At 44.4% G+C, this 14879-nt stretch overlaps 1 protein-coding gene and 1 long non-coding RNA gene across 5 annotated transcripts in view, besides 4 other annotated features; one reads left to right on the forward strand and one right to left on the reverse strand.

Annotated features, from left to right (window-relative positions):
* The window catches only part of SCRN1 (secernin 1), a 70187-nt gene extending 58234 nt beyond the window's left edge, over positions 1-11953 (reverse strand). For 2 of the 4 annotated variants that reach the window (NM_001145515.2, NM_014766.5), the window contains exon 1: positions 11306-11465. Coding sequence is in view for 1 of the 4 variants with exons in the window: in NM_001145514.1 (NP_001138986.1) it covers positions 11846-11904 (59 nt within the window). In the remaining 3 variants the exon portion in view is untranslated. Of the gene's footprint in view, positions 1-11305; positions 11466-11606; positions 11783-11845 lie in introns of those variants that run through there. The other 2 variants (NM_001145514.1, NM_001145513.1) reach the window with 2 other exon arrangements.
* The window catches only part of FKBP14-AS1 (FKBP14 antisense RNA 1), a 38586-nt gene continuing 34026 nt past the window's right edge, over positions 10320-14879 (forward strand). The window contains exon 1 of the long non-coding RNA NR_187577.1: positions 10320-10457. This is a non-coding gene — a long non-coding RNA (FKBP14 antisense RNA 1). The remainder of the gene's footprint in view (positions 10458-14879) is intronic.
* Positions 10692-10811: a silencer, noted in NCBI's record as "silent region_18049". NCBI's record gives its function as "represses an Ori minimal core promoter by ATAC-STARR-seq in GM12878 lymphoblastoid cells {active_cell/tissue: GM12878}" and the evidence as "EXISTENCE:reporter gene assay evidence [ECO:0000049][PMID:35858748]".
* Positions 10902-11171: a silencer, noted in NCBI's record as "silent region_18050". NCBI's record gives its function as "represses an Ori minimal core promoter by ATAC-STARR-seq in GM12878 lymphoblastoid cells {active_cell/tissue: GM12878}" and the evidence as "EXISTENCE:reporter gene assay evidence [ECO:0000049][PMID:35858748]".
* Positions 11182-11231: a silencer, noted in NCBI's record as "silent region_18051". NCBI's record gives its function as "represses an Ori minimal core promoter by ATAC-STARR-seq in GM12878 lymphoblastoid cells {active_cell/tissue: GM12878}" and the evidence as "EXISTENCE:reporter gene assay evidence [ECO:0000049][PMID:35858748]".
* Positions 11252-11591: a silencer, noted in NCBI's record as "silent region_18052". NCBI's record gives its function as "represses an Ori minimal core promoter by ATAC-STARR-seq in GM12878 lymphoblastoid cells {active_cell/tissue: GM12878}" and the evidence as "EXISTENCE:reporter gene assay evidence [ECO:0000049][PMID:35858748]".

Here is a 14879-nt window from a genome sequence, read left to right on the forward strand (position 1 = left end):
ATCCACATTCCCGCATGATGGCAAGACTGGAGTTGGGTAGTGGCTCCTCTCAACAGGGCCTGTATTTCCTATTGTCCCCTCCACTCTCTGACACGGAGGCCAATGAAAGCGCCACCTCTCCTCACCTTTGTGTAATTGCACTCACTGATACCGCCTGCCTAGCCCTGCAGCCCCATGTGTATAGGTACAAGAGAATGACACACTTTAGAGACACCAGGCCCTAGTAGCCATCCTGACTTCTCTAACTCTGAGCCAGAGTTTCCTCATATACAAATGGAATTAACCCCCCATACACAACATCGCATGGTGTTGTGAATGTAACGAAAATATTTTTTAAAAAAAGAAAAGAAAGAGTTGCATGAAAGTAATCTGTTATCCAATTAATTGCAGCTAAAAAGTATGGCCCTGCAATAAGGCGGAGACTCTGGGAGAACCCCATAGCTCAGCCATGGCAAATGAACTAATTTTACCTTTTGGCCACATCTGATTTTGCCTCATTTGCAAGATACAGTCATAATGAGAAATATGAATTAAAGCAAAATGTCTAATTTATTGTCGTGATTCATGTGGCAGATTAGTAACTAGGGAAATATAGAGTTCAACGGAATGTTGTGCTTCAAAACCTACATTTATTCATAGGTAACTAATCATTTTACAAAAGTATTCTTCAAGTCACTTCAGAATTTATCTATAATGCAAAATATTTTTATATGATGTTTCCCAATTTTTTTATGTCAAAAATTTTCCGCCGGGTGTGGTGGCTGACGCCTGTAATCCCAGCACTTTGGGAGGCTGAGGCGGGCGGGTCACAAGGTCAGGAGTTCGAGACCAGCCTGACCAACATGGTGAAACCCTGTCTCTACTAAAAATACAAAAATTAGCCAGGCGTGGTGGCACGTGCCTGTAATCCCAGCTACTCAGGAGGCTGAGGCAGGAGAATCGCTTGAACCCAGGAGGCAGGGGTTGCAGTGAGCCGAGATCACGCCACTGCACTCCAGCCTAGATGACAGAGTGGGATTCCATCTCAAAAAGAAAAAGAAAAAAAAATTCATGAACATTTCCACATAACAGTCCTTGTAATTTGCTGGGGAAAATATGTAATGAATATATGTTATGAATTTAGTAACACCTTTAATGAATCTGTAGGTACGCAATGACAATAGAATCCTTACATAGTTGAAAAATAATAGTGTAGATACATGTCTCATTACGCCGTGCCCATTCAATGTTGGGACACACTTGAATTCAAGGACCACCTGCAAGAACTCCTCCATACCCAGTGATTCTCTATCCACCCCGCTGTGCATTCAAAATATGATCCCACTTTTTAAAAATGCAGTCTTCATGCACATCTATCATGTAAGAACTCTTTTAGGGATTTTGTAAGTGAAGGAAAGAGGAGAGATTAATGGAATGGCATCTGTTCTTGGATACATTTTTTTAAAATGCATTAAGGAACAGATAACTTATGTAGGATTCATTTTCACTTAAGCTAGCCAAATTAGAAAAATATAGTCAGATCAAGTTCACTGTAAGAAAGACGTTTTCCTATACATGGCAGGTTGGAAAACAATTTTCCTTCTTTCATAGAAATATAAAGAAAGGAAGAAAACGATTTACATAAGATTATCCCTACAGGCTAGACCTATGCAGTCAGGATAATTACTCTAAGAGGTTATATTATGGCTTTTTAAAAAAGTCAGATAGACCCAGATTCCAGGTGATGCTCCTCTACTTACTAAGCTCCTTATCTGTAAAATGGGGCCATGTCAACCATGTACAGTTATGAGGATTACATGAGATAATATATGTAGAGTGTCAGGAATAGAGATAAATTCAAGAAAGGTTTGTTCCTTTAACTTGATCATAAAGAACAGGGATGTAATGATGATGGACATAAAGGATGAAGGATGTGTTTGAAATAGGCAGGCTGTGGTGAGCTGCCAAAAGCATTCTCTGTGGGAAATAGGGAGGTACTGAGCAAGCCACATCTCAGGTCCTTTCATTTCCTTCTGTTCTTATTTTTGACATTGCTGCCATTGTGTCCACTAATTTGGCAAGGTTGCTTTGAATTATGACCTTCCTATTCCCACCATCTGTCTTCCTCTCCCATCAAAACAGTGCATTGTGTATTCTGATCTTTTCCCATTAATGTGATTTGATATGTACTTTGTTAACTCTGTAAACTGGGATTTAAAAAAAATTTTCCCAATCATCCTTAAAATGGTCGTTAGCCATTTAACTCTCCATCACTAAAAAATTAGCCAAACATTCATTTTCTACAGAAGAAATAAGGTAATAAGATGTAAATCTTGCTGGTCCAAAAACAAAGGGTTACTTTATGTCTGGCAAAGTGGAATTTAAAACTACTTTGTAAAAGTCCATTAATAATGTCCATTAATTCTAGAGCTACTTGTTGTGTTTTATCATTATCAAATTTAAAACATTTTATTATCAAAAAGGAATATATACACATATATGAATACATGATTATGTATATGTATATACCTATATATGCGTGCATATACATTTATGTAAATATAAGTATAGGTAGGTAGATAGAAAGATAGGCACATAGATGGATGGATAGATAGATTTTAAAAGACCTAGAAGGATTAATATCTAACTGGGAGTTGAGAGTGCGAGTAAAGATGGGGATAGGGAGATAGAAACTTTAAATTTTACTTCATCTAGTTATATAGTTTTAAAATTCTTTACAGCAAGCTCATATTGCTTTATTGGTCTTTTAATTATTTTCTAAAATCTGATCATTTCAGTGCTTAAGAAGAACACTTTAAGACATTTCATTAATTCTTCCAGGTCACTAAGGCACTGCTAAGTGCAATAAAAAAAAAAAAATACACTAAAGCTTTACCTTAAGAAAGAGGTGAAAAAGATACTCAGGAAAGCTTTTGATCACTACATAATTTTAGTTAGGATTTTTAAGTCAGATGAGTTACTAAAATATATTTTGAGCCCCTAACCACCTACAAGCACTATGTTCAACTGCAGGGAAAACAGAGCTAAGATGTCTCAAGGTTTTTATCATTTGGAAGAGCTGTCTATGAACACAACCAAGAGAGAAAGTTAGTAACCCAACTTAGGATATTGATCAGAAATGTTTATGAGAGCTTTCAAACATGCCTAGCTGACAGGGGAGTAAATTAAGCACTTGGAGATTTAGGTTAAATACATAATCATTAAGAACAGAAGAAGAGATCATGAACCATCTCAAGCTCCTTCTCCCAGCTTCAGGTGAAGTTCAAGTTGGGAGGCCCCAGGCTCTCTATCTACTAGCCTGACTGAGTGAACTGACATTCCACCCAGTTCCCTTCAGCCCCATACAAGATTGGGTGAGGGCCCTGATGACACTGGGAGCTTCTGAGGAAGGGAGGACAGCTAGAAATGACTAACATATACATCACTTCTTACCTTCTTGGACATAAAGAACCTCACCTATCACAAAAAAATTCATGAATGAGAGTATGTGGTCTTTGCCATCCCTTCCACCTATGAGAGCCTGATAACCATGCCTAAGCGATGTTGAGAAGAACATTCCATAGAAGGCTCAGATTGTGGGTAGGTATGGGAGTGAGGGTAGAAAGGAGGCAAAGAATAGCGGGAAAGGACACGCCTGTCACTAGTACAGGCTAGGCACAAAGTCTTGGAGGCCTGTGGTTGATATACTCTGGCATAAAGCAAGCAATACTCTAGCTCACTCCCACTGACTCTTTTCCTCACTTATGGGCTCTTCCATTGGTTTGTTTCCCAAGTCAAACTTTTAAAAAATTGACAAAGTGTTTCCAGTGTTCCTCTGGGTCTGTGATTGGAATTATACTGAATTTACAGATTCATTTGACAGGGGTAGCTAAAATAATCACAATCATAACATCTAAAATTGTATGTTAGAACATTAAGCATTCACCATGTGCTTAATAACATGCTAAGTCATACATATACATATATGTGTGTGTGTAATCACTTAATCCTCACAATAACCCATCACACACGTATTATGTCCATTTTACAGCTGAGAAAATGAAAGCTACAAATGGTGAAGTGGCCAGGTGCTATAGCCCATGCCTGTAATCACAGTAGTTTGGGAGGCTGAGACAGCAGGATCAGTTGGGTCCAGGAGTTCAAGACCATTCTGGGCAACCCAAGGAGACCCTATCTCTACAAAAAAATAAAAATAAATTAGTCAGGTGTAGTGGTGTACACTTGTGGTCCCAGCTACTCAGAAGGCTGAGGTGAGAGGACTGCTTGAGCCTGGGCGGTCAAGGCTCCAGTGACCCATGACTATGCCACTGCACTGCAGCCTGGACAACAGAGCGAGACCCTGTCTCAAAAAAAAAAAAAAAAAAAAAAAGAATGGTGAAGTGGTGAAGTACTTTGCCCAGGGTTGTATAATTAATACGTAGTGGAGTAAAAATTCAGACTCCAAAATGCTCTTAAACACCAGGCTGCCCTGACTCTATCTTCTCAATCAAGGGCAAGAAGTGTCTCTTCATTTTTTTTTTTTGAGACGGATTCTCGCCCTGTTGCCCAGGCTGGAATGCAATGGTGATCTCAGCTCACCACAATCTCCACCTCCCGGGTTCAAGCAATTCTCTTGCCTCAGCCTCCCAAGTAGCTGGGATTACAGGCATGCACCTCCATGCCCAGCTAATTTTTGTATTTTTAGTAGAGACGTGGTTTCACCATGTTGGCCAGGCTGGTCTCGAACTCCTGACCTCGTGATCCGCCCACCTCGGCCTCCCAAAGTGCTGGGATTACAGGCATGAGCCATCACACCTGGCCCAAGAAGTGTCTCTTCTTTGGTGTGAGCTTTTTTTTTAAGTTCATCATTAGAGTTCTATAGTTTTCTTTACAGGGATTCTGCCATTTTATGTCAGTTTACTAGAGAGAGAGATGCACAAATCCTCAATGAAGAAAACTCTTAAGACTTTATGGTGGGGACTGTGGTGGGGTGGGGGGAGGGGGGAGGGATAGCATTGGGAGATATACCTAATGCTAGATGACGAGTTGGTGGGTGCAGCGCACCGGCATGGCACATGTATACATATGTAACTAACCTGCACAATGTGCACATGTACCCTAAAACTTGAAGTATAATTAAAAAAAAAAAAGACTTTATGGTGACATGGCAGAAGATTTAAAGAACAGAGAATGTTCCTGTTCTTTGCTAGAAAGATTCAGTGTTATGTAAAAAAGTCAGCCCTCCCTAAATTAATCTGTGGAGTCAATATGACAGCTATCAACATATAAATAGGGCTTTTGGAGAAAATCTGACAAAAAATGATCTTGAGGTCCATCTGCAAAGGATATGTGGGATTAGCCAAGTTTCAGAAATGAAAATTAATGAGGAAATACTAGACTTGCATGGAATTAAACTATATTATAAAGTTCCAGTATTAAGATAGTTTGTTACTGATAGAATCAGAAGTAGAAAGTCCTGAAATATAGCCATATAATGTAGGAAATTAGCATATGATGAAGACTGAATTTGAAACTGAGATGAATAAGTGTTGCCAGAATAACTGACTATAACAGGATGGGGAAAGGAAGAATGAAATCTGTTGAGATTGGCCAGGCGCAGTGGCTCATGCCTGTAATCCCAGCACTTTGGGAGTCTGAGGTGGTTGGATCCCTTGAGGCCACGAGTTCAAAAGTAGCCTGGCCAGCATGGCATTACCTTATCTCTACTAAAAATACAAAAATCAGTCGGGCGTGGTGGCGCTCACCTGTGAGCCAAGCTACTCAGGAGGCTGAGGCACAAGAATCACTTGAACCCAGGAGGTAGAGCTTGCAATGAGCCAAGATTGCACCACTGCACTCCAGCCTGGGCGACAGAGTGAGACAGTCTCCAAAAAAAAAAAAAAAAAAAAAGAAATCTGTTGAGATCCCCAATTCACTCCTAAGCCAAAATAAATTATTATAATTTAGAATTTTAAATTTTTACAATTAAAACCACAAAAATACAAATCATATGGATAAATTTTTTAAATAACATTAGCAAGCAAAAACATAAACTCAATTCAACAAGGAAAATATAGACTCGATTATAAAATAACTTAAAATTTCTTGTGAGGCAAAGTTTTTTTAATGAGAAACTAGGAAATACATGAAAAAGAGATAATTTCCCTTAATATATGTAGAGCTCTTACATACCAATAAGAAAAAGATGACCACCTCAAAGGAAAAATATGCAAAATATATAAGCACCAGTTAAAAGAAGAACAATTATAAATAGCCAAAATATTTACTAGAAAATATTTATCTCACTCACAATTAGAGAATTACAAATTAAAGGGCCAGGCGTGGTGGCTCACACCTGTAATCCCAGCACTTTGGGAAGCCGAGGTCTTGAGGTCAGGAGCTCGAGACCAGCCTGGCCAACATGGTGAAACCCCGCCTCTACTAAAAATACAAAAATTAGCTGGGCGTGGTGGCAGACGCCTGTAATCCCAGCTGCTCAGAAGGTTGGGACAGGAGAATCGCTTGAACCTGGGGCAGAGGTTGCAGTGAGCCGAGATAGCACCACTGTACTCCAGCCTGGGTGACAGAGCTAGACTCTGTCTCAAAAAAAAAAAAAAAGAATTACAAATTAAAATAAGGAGCCAATTAAATATATAAGGTGAACAAAGATTTAAAAATTTGATAATATCTAGTCTTGACTTGTGTGGGGAAAGTAGCTTTGGGTAATTTGGCCAAATCTAACAGATTAACATAACCAGTGAAGTTGGTAGACAGCTCTTGTTCATCTCATCCTAAAAGGAAGGAGACTGGGCTGGGCGCGGTGGCTCACACCTGTAATCCCAGCACTTGGGAGACTGAGGCAGGCGGATCATGAGGTCAGGAGTTTGAGACGAGCCTGACCAACATGGTGAAACCCCGTCTCTACTAAAAAATACAAAAATTAGCCAGGCATGGTGGTGCGCACCTGTAATCCCAGCTACTCAGGAGACTAAAGCAGGAGAAATCACTTGAACCTGGGGGGACAGAGGTTGCAGTGAGCTGAGATCACGCCACTACACTCCAGCCTGGGTGACAGAGTGAGACTCTGTCTCAAAAAATAAATAAATAAAAATAAAAATAAAAGGAAGGAGACTGATAAGTGGTGTGCTCAAGGCCAAACTCCTAATTAGAGGTGGGACCAGAGCTAGGTCCCAGGTCCCCTAACTTGCAGCCCAGGGCCCTCTCACTGTACTGGGGTGTATTCATCTCATTTCGATATGGGAACACAGATGTGTCAGAATGAGGAAGTTACTTTCCAATGCACTGTGCAGTTATGTTAGCCATGCTATTTCTCCATCCTAGCTGAAGTCCCACCACCATAGACCCTGACACTCCACTGTCCCCATGTCCTAGATCACCACGTAGTGTGCTTATTCTGCTTCATAGTCTCATACTCAGCAGTCCCAGCCCACCACATACTCCTTCTCTCCCTTTACAGTTTCCCTGGTCACTCACTTCTTGTAGTCCCTTTTCCGTCCATCCTGTCCCCTTTTCAGTTTCTGTTTTAACTTCTCCTTACATACCCAGTTCTACAAACAGCATTATGAGCTCAGCCACCCTCCAGTTCCTGTTAAAAACCACTAGAAATATAATCCAAGGGCTGGGCGAGGTGGCTCATGCCTGTAATCCCAGCACTTTGGGAGGCCGAGGCGGGCAGATCACCTGAGGTCAGGAGTTCGAGACCAGCCCGACCAATATGGTGAAACCCTGTCTCTACTAAAAATACAAAAGTTAGCCGGGCTGTGGTGGCGCACGCCTGTAATCCCAGCTACTCAGGAGGTTGAGGCAGGAGAATCGCTTGAACCCTGGAGGCAGAGGTTGCAGTGAGCCGAGATCGTGCCACTGCACTCTAGCCTGGGTGACGGAGGGAGGCCCTGTCTCGAGAGAGAGCAAGACAGATGCGAACCATATTTGCAATTTTATATTTTCTAGTAGCCACATTTTTAAAAGTAAAGAGAAACTCATGGAATTATTTTTAGTAATATATTTTACCCAATATATCCAACATGTTACTTCAATATAAAATCAATATAAAATTATTAATGATATTTTAAATTCTTTCTTCATATTAAATTTTTGAAATTGTGTGTATATTTTACACTCAGCATATCTCAATACAAACTAGCTGCATTTCAAGTGCTCAATAGCCACATGAGGCTGGTGGCTACCAGATGAAACAGCACAGATCTAGACTCTAATGAAAACGGATTTAAAAAAAAATAACTTTTGTTTATCTGTATTCTTATTCTTCAACAGACACAAATTGCATGCATTTCTGTATTTTTACAACTTGCTATTTTAAATATCTTTGGCATATCTTCACATTCATCCTCTAATGCAAGTTAGTTTTCTAATTTTTTTAATTTTTTTTTTTTTTTTTTTTTTTTTGAGACGGAGTCTCGCTCTGTCGCCCAGGCTGGAGTGCAGTGGCACCATCTCGCCTCACTGCAACCTCCGCCTCCCGGGTTCAAGCGATTCTCCTGCCTCAGCCTCCCAAGTAGCTGGGACTACAGGCGCGTGCCACCATGCCCGGCTAATTTTTTGTATTTTTAGTAGAGACGGGGTTTCACCGTGTTAGCCAGGATGGTCTCGATCTCCTGACCTCGTGATCCGCCCGCCTCGGCCTCCCAAAGTGCTGGGATTACAGGCGTGAGCCACCGCGCCCGGCTGCAAGTTAGTTTTCTAAATGGCACATGTCACATCAGCATCTGTCTTCACTTCGATATATATATTCATATTTAGCTCCTATCTGTTCCACTGCCTCAAGACATTCTCCCTGTTCCCTGCCTCCTGCCACCTTCTCCCTCTGCACATCACTGGCTGTGAAGGTTCAGATGCCCAGAAGAAACGTTTTCCACATCTTCACCACCTCTTCACACTAACCCATGCACAATTTCTAGCTCTGCTTTAGTAGATCTAAGGTCACTGACTCATGACTCAGAAAAGTCAAATGCAAATCATAGGAAAAGCCTGTCTTCACTGCTTCAAAGTTATGTTTACAATAGGCTTGTTATTTACTTTTACTTAAAATTAGAAACAGTCGAAAAAAATGAAATGCATGGCCTACTTTGGTTCCTTTTCAAAATAAACTGGCCTAATGGTTCTCCACAAACACAAGCAACTCAATTTTTAATCAAAAAATGTACTTCTTGCCTCAAAGACTTTACTAAAATAATGTTTTTGGTTCTTAACTATAGAAACAGTTTCACCACTGGAAAATGTGAACATGAGGTAGATACAGCTTAAGAAGTTAAAAGTCTTGAATTAGGAAATTAAGGTGTTGTCATTGACTTTAAACACCTATAGACTTTGTAATTCATATTACAGTTTGGCTTCCCATTGCTCGAAGTGTTTGCCTTCCTAATAATGACAGACTTGCTGTTCTCCCCCAGGCTCTAAAAGGTAGCATGTGGAACCCGGGGGAGTTATGAGACCTGGATTTGGGTTCTCACTGCCAGTTGACAGCCAGATATATGATCTTGGCGTCCATTCGCCCCGCTGGCCTCAGCCTTCCTGCTGTAAAAAGGGGGTTGACAGCAGGCTCCTTAAGACTGCCTCCACCTCTGCCCCCCGACCTTAGCTCATCCTCCTCTATTCCATTATCCCTGAAGCATTTGCCTCCTCATGTATCTCCTTCCCAAAAGACAAGATGGCTGGCAGCACGGAAGTGAAAAGGGAAAGAAAGGCTGTTTAAAAAAAAAAAATTCTAAAATGAGTCACCTTTCAAGAATTTCCCATTTCCTCATGCCTGGGTGCTTCCTCGTGTCGCTAAATCAGTTCTTCCAATGAAACTTGATCTAAGAACCTGGTATTTGTTATGTGCACTGCTCTTGGATGATGTTTACAATGTGCACACATCTCTTTTAAGAGCTTGTAGGTATCAAACGACCTCCAGGTTGTGCATCAAAAAGACATCAGCAGCCACAGAGTCAACTTTAGTTGAGCCTGGAGAAAATCATACAAAACCGTAGAGTTTTAACTAGGTTTTGTATCATCTTTTGATAAGTTAGGAAAAATAATTACAGCTCTCCAAACTTCCCACTTAACAACTCCCAGGACCCTGCAGCACCCTAAAATCTAGCCAGCTCCAAGAATCACTCTCTACTCCATACCCGGATGAGCCTTGACTCACACTAATTCCCTCCCTGAGGCTTAAGTCAGGGGGCAGCTGATGGTTGTGGTCTGTGCTGCTTCCGCCTGGCCTATTTTTCATGCTGCCATTTTGAATTAGCATAGGTTTCCTCCGCAACTGATGCATCTTCTAACCAGGCTGGGAACACAACACGCGCACACGCGCACACACACACGCACGCACCCACCCCACCCGGCTGCCGGACGCAAGCGTAAGTCAAGGACTTGCATGCTAGAATCAGACAGAAAATCCAGAAAAGCCACGTTATTTAACAGAACCCTACAAGGTCAGCTTTGAGTCAAAGCAGGTAACAGTTTCCTTCGATGTTTTCATGGACATTTTTATTCCCAAATCCGAGTTCTCGCCAATTCTCTAAAGTTCAAGCGCCCCTCCTGCTTTGCAGACCACATTTCTCTCGGCCCTCGCGAGTGAGGTCGCCAAATACTCGACGCCTCAAGAGCGAGCCGAGGAGGCAGAGGCCGACCAAGCCGGCCTCTCGGCAGCCCCGCCCGGCGCCCCGCGGAGAACGCCCGGGTGCGGCTCGAGGGAAGTTGTGTCAAGTCCCACGCGCGGCCCGCGGAGAACCCAGGGGCGGCCCGCGCGCGTCGGCCTAGCGGGGAGGGCTGCTCCGGGACACGGTGCGGCGGCCGCGGGCGAGTTGGACGCGCTGGCAGAGCCGGGCCGAAGGCGGCGGGCGTCTCCGGGCAGCCATGTTCGCGGCGCCCGCCCGCGCAGCAGGTACGGCACCTCGGGGAAGGTGCCCGGCTCGCCCCAGACCCCAGGGTGGCGAGGCCAGGGGCCCACAGGCACATCCCAGTGGGCAGCAGGTTGGCTGCCAGGAAAAGGAAACCCAGGAAGAGCAGCGCGGGGAACCCGGCTGCGGTGCGGGAGCCCGGGGCCGGCATCCCTCCACTGCACCCCCGCAGTCCCCGAGCCGAGTCACCCCGGCTTCAGGCCGAGGCCACCTCTCCTCTGACCGCCCCCAGGCTCCCAGCCCGCCCGGGCCAGCACCGGGAATCGGCCTGGGGTAACGCTACCCGCGGGTTCGGAGGGACAGCGGGAGGAGATGAAACGCAGGAGGTGGCGATGGCGGGTGGGGTGAAACCGCCGGGAAAGCAGCGCTGCAAACGCCCTGCGCTCCCAGACGCGGCTCACCTGGGGCGGCGGGCTCCGGGCTCCGCTCTCCGCTCTGCGGTGCTGAGGCTGCGGCCGCCGAGGGTGCGGGTGCTGCCGGGTCCGGATTACTGCGGCGACCTCGGGGGCTGCAGCTGCAGTGGCGGAGGCGGCCGCCGGGCGCTTCCCCCTACCCAGACTCCCGGCGCTGGGGCCCGCCGCCCCCCGCAGCAGCTGGCCCGACTCACGTGACCGCGGGCCCACCCTCCGCCTCCCCCACCCCGGCCCCCGGGGCCCCGCCGCACCCCGCGCGTCTGGCTGCACGGGCCGCGGCGCTGCTCACCGTCGAGTAGGGAGGGGGCCTGGGAGCTGGAGGAGCGGCCGAGAGGGCGTATCTCGCCGCAGAAAGTGGCCCCCTCTTTGCTAGATTTTTATTTCTTGGTTGTGGCTCTCAAAAGGGAAAACCCGGGCTTCAAGGAGCCAGGCCCAGCATCCTTTTGGCGCCTCTTCCCGACGTTTGGTTGCTACGTCCGGGCCTCGGCGCCCACACAAGATTTCCCCGGAGAGAAATGTGTCCTGTACCTTGTTGACTCGCACGTCCAAGTCGAGTCCCTGGTTTTAAAAGTGCCGTCCTGTACCATGTTGGTAAGCCAGACCCTGTCCCAGGTACTTGGACATTGTGGCCTAGAGAGGTTAAGTAACTTGCCCAAGGTCACACAGCACGTAACTAAGCCAAGATTCCATATCTGGGTTAATAAAGTTATGTACAGGGACTTGTGTGTTGTGTGTCTGTGTGTGTGTGTGTGTGTGTGTGTTGATGCCAGCGTCAACTCCATCTTTTATAAGTAAATAAGAAAAGACTATCTCAAAAGATATGAAGACGTAATTCAGAGGAAAATAAATGCAATTCTATCCTGGCACACGAAAAGATATTCAGGCTCACTTAACTGCAAATCAAATATGTGGGGTAGCATCTTCCACCAGCCAGATTAACAAAAATCAAAACATTTTGAGTCTTGCTTTGTCGCCCAGTCTGGAATGCAGTGGCAGGATCTCGGCTCACTGCAAACTCCGCCTCCTGCCTCCCGCCTCCCGCCTCCCGCCTCCCGGGTTCAAGCGATTCTCGTGCCTCAGCCTCCCAAGTGGCTGAGACTACAGACCCACGCCACCAGCCTCGCTAATTTTTTTTGATTTTTAGTAGAGATGGGGTTTCACCATGTTGCCCAGGCCGGTCTCAAACTCCTGAGCTTAGGCAATCCGCCTGCCTCTACTATCCAGCTTCCTTTAAAAAGGAGAATGATCTTTATTTGCTAATACAAAACTATTTCCAACCTATACTAACTAAAGAAAAATAAAAAGCTAGGTGCAGAACGTTGTGTGTGTTATTTGTGGGAAGAAAATATATATGTATGTCTGTACTTATTTTTGTAAATGCACAGAGTATCTTTGGAAGAGTACGTAAGAACCTGTAATAGATGCCACCAGGGAGCAGAACTGGGAGACTGGGTGCTGGGGAGAGAAGGAGACTTTTTTCCATGCCCTTTGAATGTTGAGCCTGTGCTTACAGTCTGACACATGAGTAAACGGATAGTGGGGAAGGGCTGAGGAAGTTGGTGTAGGTACTGCAGAATAGAGCATTGGTTCGTAGACTCTTGGAGCACAAAGGTACTTTACTGTTCTTTTAGTCTAGCCAAGAAAACTGTAGCCAATGAGTCTAAATAATCAATATTAGAAATTTCTAGCGGGCTTATTCCTGGGTTCCAGCCCAGATCTATGGAATTCAGAGTCTCTGGGGCTGGAGCCAGGGAACCCGCATTTTTCAAGCTCTTTAGTTGTTTCTCTTGCATGTTAAAGTCTGAAAGTCCGTGAGGTGTGGGTAGGGAGAGCATTAGGAAAAATAGGTAATGCATGCTGGGCTTAATACCTAAGTGATGGGTTGATAGGTGCAGCAAACCACCGTGGTACACGTTTACTTATATAACAAATCTGCACATCCTGCATATATACCCCAGAACTTAAAATAAATATTAAACTTTTTTTAAAAGTCTCAGAGTCGCTGTTTTATTTTTTGTTTGTTTTGAGATGGGATCTCGCTCTGTCACCCAGCCTCGAGGGAAGTGGCTCACTGCAGCCTCTACCTCCTAGGCTCAAGTGATCCTCCTACCTCAGCCTCCTGAGTAGATAGGACTACAAGCATGTGCCACCATGCCTAGCTACTTTTTAAAATATTTTTGTAGAAATGGAGTCTCACTATGTTGCCCAGGCTGGTTTCAAGCTCCTGGACTCAAATGATCCTCCTGCCTTAGCCATCTGAAGTGTTAAGATTACAGACGTGAGCCACCGTGCCCAGCCAGAGTCACTGTTTTAAATGTCTAGTTTAAGACTACACCACTACTAGAAAGGCAAATGCAATCCTGTGCCTTCCTATAGCCAGTATATGTCATTTGTTGTGTAAAGGATGGCACTTGCACCCTACGCTGCTCCCCTGGAGGCAGCCATATGCTCAGTACACGGATAGGGGATACTGCCAACCTGCCTGCCTGGCCTGAGATCTTTGAAGCCTGTTGGTTTGTCCCTACACAGCCACAGGAGCTTTGAGGCCAGGAGCCCAGGAACACATGGAGATTGAAAGACACCTGCTTTCCCCAGGGTCTGCATGGAGAAGCTTATTATATGGCACTATGAACGCTTATTAAACAGCAGCAATGACCGGGCATGGTGGCTCATGCCTGTAATCCCAGCACTTTGGGAGACCAAGGCGGGTGGATCACGAGGTCAGAAGATCAAGACCATCCTGGCCAACATGGTGAAACCCCGTCTCTACTGAAAATACAAAAATTAGCTGTGTGTGGTGGTGCGTGCCTATAATCCCAGCTACTTGGGAGGCTGAGGCAGGAGAATAGCTTGAACCAGGGAGTCAGAGGTTGCAGTGAGCCAAGATCGTGCCATTGCACTCCAGCCTGGGTGAGAGAGTGAGACTCCGTCTTAAAAAACAAAAACCAGCAGCAATACACTTATTTTGTCTCTGCTTTGTATCCAAAAGACAGTCCCTACTATTATTTGAGCTGCATAAATAGAGATAAGAGAACAGAACTGTCCAACAAATGTGGAGAACACCAAGAAATATCAGTAAGGGCTTTAATCATTGGCCTCTATCAATTATGTGAGGTTTAACTTTGAGTAAATTATAAGATTTCCATGAGCTAGCTTGCAAGGAAAAAAAATGTCTTAAATGACTTGCAACTGTTACACGGTCATTTATATTCCATCTAGTCATATTCAGAGACTTAAGAGCTAAAAAATACAAGTATAACAGATTTCCTTTTTTCTCTTCCGCCCTGAGAAGGACATGATCCCTACAGAGGTTACTCTCTGCAGCTGAGGCAGAAGGAGATTATAGCTAGAGGCTGTCTGCTAAACATGTCTGGAGGGTACACTCAGTGATGACCACAGATACTAATAGTGTTTTCAGTTTGGAACAATTATGAATAAAGCTGCTAATAATATTTATCTACAAGTTTTATGTAAGTGTAGGTTTTCATTTCTCTTGGGTAAACATTAGATTGGTGCAAAAGTAATTGCAGTTTTTGCCATTACTGTTTTAAAAATGGCAAAA

The sequence above is a fragment of the Homo sapiens genome, chromosome 7 (genome assembly GCF_000001405.40).
Source record: "Homo sapiens chromosome 7, GRCh38.p14 Primary Assembly".
NCBI classification, from domain to species: domain Eukaryota; kingdom Metazoa; phylum Chordata; class Mammalia; order Primates; family Hominidae; genus Homo; species Homo sapiens.